At 34.3% G+C, this 9,126-nt stretch overlaps 1 pseudogene; it reads left to right on the top strand.

The window, feature by feature from the left end:
* Positions 2,036-5,888, top strand: LOC728811 (UDP glucuronosyltransferase family 2 member B15 pseudogene; annotated as a pseudogene).

Raw genomic sequence — 9,126 nt, 5'->3', positions numbered from 1 at the left:
TAACTCTTATCTATGACATGAAGGCATCACTTTGAATTGCCCCACCTTTCCTGACCAAACCAATGTACGTCATACGCATATTGATTGATGTCTCATGTCTGCTAAAATGTGTAAAACCAAGCTGTGCCCCAACCACCTTGAGCACGTGTCATTGAGACTTTCTGAGGCAGTGTCATGAGCATGTCCTTATCCTTGGCAAAATAAACTTTCTAAATTGAGAACTGTTTCAGATACTTTGTGTTCACACAGGTAACGAGTCACACAGAATACCTGGGAGCCCCAAGAACTACCTGGAATAGTAGTACAGTGACTCTCCAATTAAAACTAATGTCATAAGGCTCAAATTATATTTTTGAAAAATACTTGGCAAAATATGTTGTGCATACACAAACTTTAGGATTTCTTTTTTTAAACAAGTTTTTAAAAGAAAGTTTACCTCCCATGTTTAGGATCTGAAAGTATACCGGTTATGTCAGAATGGGTTCATCATTATTTTACAGAGAAAATAAATAAATAATAAATGGAAAACAAAAGAAACAACAACAACAAAAAGATGGGTATTCAATTTTGACATTATATACTGAAAACTTTTGGCGCTACATTTCTCTTTCTCTTTATTTTGTCTTGATAGGCGTATGCACTGAGCAATGTGGAATTACACTATGCATTTACATTTACAAATGAGAACATAAGGGAAACCACAATTCAGAGTAATTCTCAATAAATTTCAAGCAAACACATATTCAACAAGGGCTTTATATTGTGTGAATGAGCTACTCAAGATAGTGAAGAGATCTCCACTGGAAAAATGACTGGTAGATTCTTCCACTGAGGATTAAGTGCCCCTGTGAGACACAGAAAAGTGATGATGAGGGTCCCTCACAGGCAGTTATAGGTAGCACATCAGTTGTTTGTTTGGTTTGTTTGTTTTGTTTTGTTTTGTTTTGAGATGGAGTCTCGCTGGGTCGCCCAGGCTGGAGTGCAGCGGCACAATCTCGGCTCACTGCAACCTCCACCTCCCGGGTTCAAGCAATTCTCCTGCCGCAGCCTCCCGAGTATCTGGGATTACAGGTGTGTGCCACCACGCCCAGCTAATTTTTGTATTTTTAGTAGAGACAGAGTTTCACCATGTTGGCCAGGATGGTCCCAATCTCTTGACCTGGTGATCTGCCCATCTCGACCTCCCAAAGTGCTAGGATTACAGGTGTGAGCCACCATGCCTGGCCAGTAGCATATCATTTTATGCAGTGTGATTTCAGGAAAAAAAGTGTCTTAGTAATATTTAAACAATGACCTGAGAAATACAATCACTCAGTTATGTAACTATATACTGCATAATTCTGTATTATAAATGGGATTCTCAGGACTAGTTCACAGAAATTTCACACCACAGTATCAGACTCTTGAATCTCCATCATTATTAAACTTCAGCTTTTAAAGATTTTTTTTTAGGGAAAAAGACATAATCTGACAAGTTTTAAATGAGGTATAAAGAATTACAGAGCTAAAGAAATAGACATATAAAATTATTTCAATAGTAACTTTTCCTCACTGCTCATAGCCAGGTAATGGTTCCAATGACTCCCAACTAAAAATACTCTACAGAAAGAACAAACAAACAAACAAACAAAAAACCCTGCCTTAATAGACACAAGGAATTTAGTAGAACTACAACATATGGAATTAAACACAACAAATGCCACCTTCCAAGAACCCATATTAGTAATTACAGTATTGTAAATGAAGAGTCTGGGTATAATATTTTCTAGCATTGTCTCCTTCTTCTATAGTGTCATAGTTGTTTTTCATCTTTTCCTTTTACAGACACACATATTTACACAAATAGCCATAACAGATGCCATGTATATCATATTCCATAACTTCTTCCAAAGAAAGAGATTAGGTCAGTTAAAAAATAGCCATTACTCCAAAAATTTCTGATAATGCTTGATTTTCTCTTCTTAGATGTATGTACTAATCTTTTCTATAGTGTTTGCTATGCTGACACTCTTTTGTGATAGAACAAATTCTTCACAGAAAATGGAAGAGTTTGTGCAGAGCTCTGGAGAAAATGGTGTCGTGGCAGTCTTGCTTAAGTCTATGGTCAGTAACATCACAGAAGAAAGGGCCAACGTGATTGCATCAGCTCTTGCCCAGATTCCACGAAAGGTTAGATAAAATGTCTTAATGGTGGACAGCTACTGAATGAGTCTGTTAAACTCTGTAAAGAGTCCAATCACAGAAATTTTCTGCCAGAAAAACTAACTGATATGATAGCTCTAATTATCTCAGATATTGGTTCAAAAACAAAAATATATATGGAAGATACTAAAATAACGAGGGTGTGTTTGATTGATAAAAATTCTGACATTAATATTGTGATCAGAAAAAATATATTTAAGAGGTGCAGGTGAAGTTGTGGTATTATCATAGTATTGTAGGCATGTACATAGAAATCACCAAATTCTGCCCTGTCATTTGTCCCTTTTGCTTACAAGTTTCCTGAGAACATGGTATACACTATAGATATTATTTAAAATCACTTACATTTTAATCAGTTACTGCACTATTACAATAACAATAAGGTATTGAAAAAAGTCTGAAATGCATCATTCAATTTAGGCTTGCTAGGTAATCTGGTCTCCTGTACTTCCTGTACATTTTGGAATAGACCTATTTAGTAGGCAATTCAGAATGCATTCAGAGAAAAGATGTCCAGGCTGACAAACCGCTATTCTGGAGGTATCCACCTAGCCAAGTAGATTTAGAGAAGCAGAAGAACTTGCCTGCCCTGTTTACTGGGCCTTGCTAATGTCTTAAACAGGAAAATATGATAGAAAAGGAGGGAACAGAATCCTGCTTTTAGGGTAGACTCCGTGCATTATAAAATGTGGTCCCATAAAGCCTCTGCTCTAACCATCAGAAAAACACCTCCTCCCAACGGAGGAAGGAGAAGGGAATATAAGAAGGAGTCAAGCAGAAGGAAGCCAGACATGGAAAGAGGTTCAGATGCCCTCACTCCATGAAATATAGTAGGAACTTATTTTGTAGTATGCAGAATACACTTGAAGTCTTTGTGTATTTGTGAGTTACTTTTTAGTTTCCTCTCTGACATAGCCTTCTCCTAATGACCTATGCTAATTTTTTTCTGGAAACACAAAGTTACTTTAACACTCACATAGCAAATACAAGGAAAACACTTGTAAATTACACTCCAGTTTATAAGGATTGCTTGGGGAATCTAAAATCAGTATCTTATTTTGGTACTGTCTATGGGTATGGCTTGGCTAAAGCAGCCCATATTAATCTATGCTGTCGATGCTTTATAGCAGCATCTAAGTGTTAATGATCAGTTAAGCAAAATTTAGCAAAATATAATTTTACAATTTTTAGTGTGTATATTCTTATTCATAAATTGCCAATTGGCTCTTTTCGCCTACATTGGAAGAATTTCCAAAACTAGCAAAATGATAGTACTTTGAATTTGACTCAGAAATTGCCACTTGCACTTTGGGATGCCTAGGTGGGCAGATCACTTGAGGTCAGGAGTTCGAGACCAGCCCGGCCAACATGGTGAAACCCCGTCTCTACTAAAAAATATAAAAATTAGCTGGGCATGGCAGTGCATGCCTGTAATCCCAGCTACTTGGGAGGCTGAGGCAGAAAAATCGCTTGAACCCAGGAGGCGAGGGTTGCAGTGAGCTGAGATGGTGCCACTGCACTCCAGCCTGGGCAACAGAGCAAGACTCCATCTCAAAAAAAAAAAAAAAGAAAGAAAGAAAAGAAAAAAGAAAAGAAAAGAAAGAAATTGTCACTTGAAATTTTTCTTGGATGTAGTGCTGGGTAATGTGTAATCTACAAGAAGTTATATGTACTACCTATGTAGCACTGATTTATTTCTCACAGGTAGCTGATTTTATAGATTTTGTTTTTTATAAATCAAAGATGTCAAACACTAACAAAATAACTTACAGAAAAATATATATAAGTAACACTTCTCATTTCACTCAAGAAATAAACTAACATTAAATTTGGAAGATTACAGGTAGTATAAAATACATAAAATAAATGTATAGGTTGTCACTAATTTGTTACTGTATTTTACAGTAGAATTATAATGACTGTCTAATAATTTCTTAAATTTTTGAATTTTTTATTGATACTCTCAAGTGTCTAAGCTTCTCTGTTGAAAACATCATGATTTTCTAATATACCAAATTGATAATAAAAGACATGAAATGTGGATATTCAATAGTCTTTTAGTAGTACTCATTTCCTAAAATTGCTTGTTCTCGTTTTTTCATCTATTATATGGAAGGGGTTTAACTAGTTGATTGACAATTTCTTTAGAGTTCTAACATCTTATAGCTTTGGCATTCTACTCATGGAACAAGATATTTTCTTTACCCCAACAGGTTCTGTGGATGGAAAGAGACCAAATACTTTAGCATCCAATACTCAGCTGTACAAGTGGATATCCCAGAATGACCTTCTTGGTAATACTCTGCAGAACAAATACTGAATATATGACTAACAGCTAATTAGAAGGATAGTTCAACCTGAAAGAAACTTACGGAACATTTATTATCAAAAAACTCAAATATAAAGGCTAACTACTTTATATTTATTTTCCAGTCTTACCAGGAAAATAACTATATAGTTGGTATTTTATTATAGACACTCACATTCTTTATGTTCAGAATCAAATTATCTTTATTTCAGATATAATTACCTCTCACGGGGTTTCCCAATAACTTCCTGGATTGTCTCTCTGTCTCCTATTTGTACAGCTTTACACCTGTCCTTTTCCCTACTTCAGGGTTAATTTCAAAAGACACTAAAAAATAACAGTGCCTCTTTTATTACCAATAACTCTGCATTTTCTGAAAATAAATCCTCAATCTTTTTTTTTTTTTGAGATGAAGTCTCACTCTTGTCCCCAGGCTGGAGTGCATTGGCATGACCTTGGCTCACTGCAACCTTCACCTCCCAGGTTCAAGCGATTCTCCTGCCTCAGCTTCCCGAGTAGCTGGGATTACAGGCACCTGCCACCAAGCCTCTCTAATTTTTGTATTTTTAGTAGAGACCAGGTTTCACCATGTTGGCCAGGCTGGTCTCGAACTCCTGACCTCAGGTGATCCACCCACCTCTGCCTCTCAAAGTGCTGGGATTATAGGCATGAGCCTCCGCACCCGGCCTAAATCCTCAATCTTTATCATAAAGTGATAACACGTTTCCTGATGTAATGTGGCCTGCCTTTCTTCTATTCCAATACCACCACCACACTCCCTGTTGCCTTGCATACACCACATATCCCACTCAGACCGCAGTATGTATTTAAGGGAAAATGCTCTAACATACACAATATTATTGATTTTCTTTTCTCTTTTTTTTTGCACATTTTTTTCATTCAGAATGTGCTTTTTCATTTTGTCCACCTGGCAATATCAATTCATTTTTTGAGTCTGAAGTCACACACGCCCCCACCTCTTCATGTAGCCTTCACTTACCTCCAGAAGAATTAGGTGCTTCTTTCTCTGAAATCCGAAAGCAATTCTAATGGAGTTTGATGTGTATAATAATCTGTTATTTAGTAGACACTGCCCCTTTCAGAGCATTCTATTGTGCATTTCTCATTTTAGTCTTATGAATAATTTTGCTAAAATTTATCCAATCCTAGGTCATCCAAAAACTAAATCTTTTATGACTCATGGTGAAACCAGTGGCATCTATGAGGCAATCTACCATGGGATCCCTATGGTGGGCATTCCTTTGTTTGCAGATCAACCTGATAACATTGCTCACATGAAGGCCCTCAATGTGGACATCAGGACCATGTCAAGTACAGATTTGCTCAATGCACTGAAGACAGTCATTAATGACCCTGTGTGAGTATGACAATTTTTTTTACTATGTGGTATTTACAGATTCTTTTGACAACACTGAATACATGTCTTACCCCTTTTAGGAGACCAATTTTGAAAGAATTTAAATAATTTAACCAACTTGAAACCTGCTTTTATTTTTCACCAATTATTTTAGTTACATTTGATCCCATATATTTAATGGGTCACCAATTACTGTAACAACCTTCTACACACAAATATTTTTAAACATATATAGATAATTGTTTAAAATATAAGTTTTTTGAATGATGGATTATAATACAATGAAATAATGAACTTGGAGAAATAAAATAAAGTATTTCAATTCAATACATAAAATTTCTGAAAGTATAACTGTATTCATGCTCAATAATGTATTTTTAGTATTATCATTATTTTAAGATACAATTTGCATAGCATAATATTTACCTATTTAAAAGTGAGATCTAAAAGTAGTTAGTACATTTACATAGTTACAAAGCCATCACCATAATATAATTTTTGAACATTTTTATCACCCTAAAATAAACCTCAAAATGCATAAAATCACTGTTGATAAACCTCCAGTCCTAGGGAAATATCAACTTACTTTCTCAATAGATTATTCTCTCTGGATATTTCATGTAAATTAAATCATACAATTTACAGTGTTCTATAAATGATTTCTTTGACTTAGTACAATGTCTTTTATTAGTTTCACCCATATTGTTGAAAGTGTCAGAACATTTTTTCTTTTTATTGCTAATATTCTTTGATGAATGTACCATTTTGAATTTACCCATTTATCAGCTTTCAGACATTTCAGTTATTTCCAATTTTAGCTCTTATAAACACTGCTATACATATTTTTTGTGAAAAAAGTTGTTTTCACTAATTTTGAGAAGATACTAGGAGTGGAATTTCTGAGCCATATGGAAAGTTGATGTTTATGAAGAACTGCTAAACTGTTTTTCAAAGTACTTGCACCGTTTTTCGTTACTTCTAGCTGTACAGGAGGGTTCCAATTTCTTCATGCTCTTCCCTACACTTGTTATCTCCTATCTTTTTGTTACAGGGATCCCAGTGGATATAAAATGATCTTTCATTGTGGATTTAATTTGCATTTTCCTTGTGGCTAAAGACATAACCATCTTTTCATGCACTTACTGGCAAGTCATTCGTCTTCTTTTGAGAAAATTTTATTCCTATCTTTTGAACATTTCTAACATTTTTATCTTATTATTGATTCATAAGAATTATTTTTATATTATTGGTGGAATGCCTTGTCAGTCTATGATTTTTAAATATTTTCTCCCACTCTTTATAGGTTGATTCTTTTTTTTTACTTTATTGAAGATGTCCCTTGAAGCACAAAGTTTTAATATTGAGAAAATAAATCTGTAATAATTTTTCTGTGCTCCAAAAGAAATAATGTAGAAAATGCTGTGACTATTGATTACTATTGTCAATATATATAAGGAGGTACCATCTTAGAAAATATACTGAAAATACCTTACCAGGAAGATAATAAGACAGTGAATGATTAAAAATAGTTTAAAAGCAAACAGGAAAGAATTAGAAAAGAAACATACAGCAGATTGGAAAACAGAAAATAAAATACAGAATAAGATAGTAGATTTAAAAGTGAATCTACTAGAACTCATACTAAATTTAAACAGAGAAAAAAAAGTGACTTAAAAATAAACATTTGAAGAGCATAAATATAACCTATTGTATATATGTGTGTGTATACATATATATGTATTGTGTATATATATAGTAAGTTTGTGTATATGTGTGTATATATATATATATACACACACATTTTTATGTGTGGAGGTGTGGAGGTGAGTGTGAATGTATATTGAGAATATACGTTTATTAAGAGTATATGGAATAGTTAGTGAATTGAACTTCTGCTGGGCCAAAAATCAGGACTTAGCAAATGTGATAAGATTCAAAAGCATAAAAAGGAAATGCTCTAGCCATACTAGAAATAAATTCGAAATTATCCAAAAAATTATAACTTAAAAAACAACTCTAAATTTTGGAAATTAAATTTGTGTATTTAAAAAGCTAGTCAACAAAACATCATAATTCTACATGCATCTTTTTCTCAGCAACTCATCTCTCAAGTATATACCCATCAAAAATGTATTAATATGTATATCTAATGATATACACACATTTGCTTACCCCAGAATTAGTAATAGTGTTCAAAAATCTTAACAACCCAAATATCCATCAGTCATAAAAATAGGAGATAATCTGTGGTATTTGTCAATTGACTGAATCATATTACAGCAATGGAATTAGCCAATAACTTCTACCCAAAAAAAGACACAAATGAGTATATATTATATAATTCATTATGTAAACAAGCAATATTAATCTATTAGAAGTCAAGGTAGTTTTAACTTGAGGACAAAAGTAGTGACTAAAATGGCCCAAGAAGACAGAGTTTTTCTAGGCAGGTTGTGATGTCTTATATTATAATCTGCGTAGTAGGTAAGTTGGTGTTCACATCAGGATATTGTTCAAGGTAATGTTAAAATTTTGAGCTATTCACTGAATTTGTGTACATTTATGTATTTTATACTTAAAGTTTTATTTGAGAAGACATGTAACATATTTTTAAGTTCCAGGAGTTAAACAGCAAAATAAGCACAAAACAATAGAGGAAATCCTACAGGTACTACCATAGTGTGGCCACGAAAAGCCTCTTTAACAGGTATTATTTAAGGGGAAGCCTCAAAAAGATATAGAAGCAAGCCTCAAGTTGTTGCAAGGAGGAATATTCCAAGAGAGGGAGAGAGGGGATAAAGGGTGTAAAGGGGCTCAGGTGAGAACACATTGGGGAGCTCAAAGAACAATAGAAGGGCAATGCCTCTAGGAGAGAAGGTGGTTGGGGAAAGTGTTAGAAGAAGTTGCCCATGCCTGACCATGTAGGGTTCTGTAGAACAAAGACAGATTTAGATTTTATTCTTAATATAGTGAGAAGCCAGGTGAAAATCTTATCAGAGGAATGCCATAATCTGGCTTTTATTTCAAAAAATTATTCTGACTACTGAGAGGAAAATATGGTAGAACACAGAATAGTAGGGTAGAAAGAGAAAGACTAATTTAGAAATATTACACCAGCTGTGAAACAATTTTTCCTTAAAAATATCAAAATGGGTCGATAAAGGTAGTTCACACCTGTAGTCCCAGAAATTTGGAAGGCTAAAGCAAAAGGATCACTTGAGCCCAAGAGTTTGAAACC

The sequence above is a fragment of the Homo sapiens genome, chromosome 4, assembly GCF_000001405.40.
Source record: "Homo sapiens chromosome 4, GRCh38.p14 Primary Assembly".
In the NCBI taxonomy this organism is placed as follows: domain Eukaryota; kingdom Metazoa; phylum Chordata; class Mammalia; order Primates; family Hominidae; genus Homo; species Homo sapiens.
Note: the sequence above shows the minus strand (reverse complement) of the source record. Positions and strands in the feature narration are given on the sequence as shown.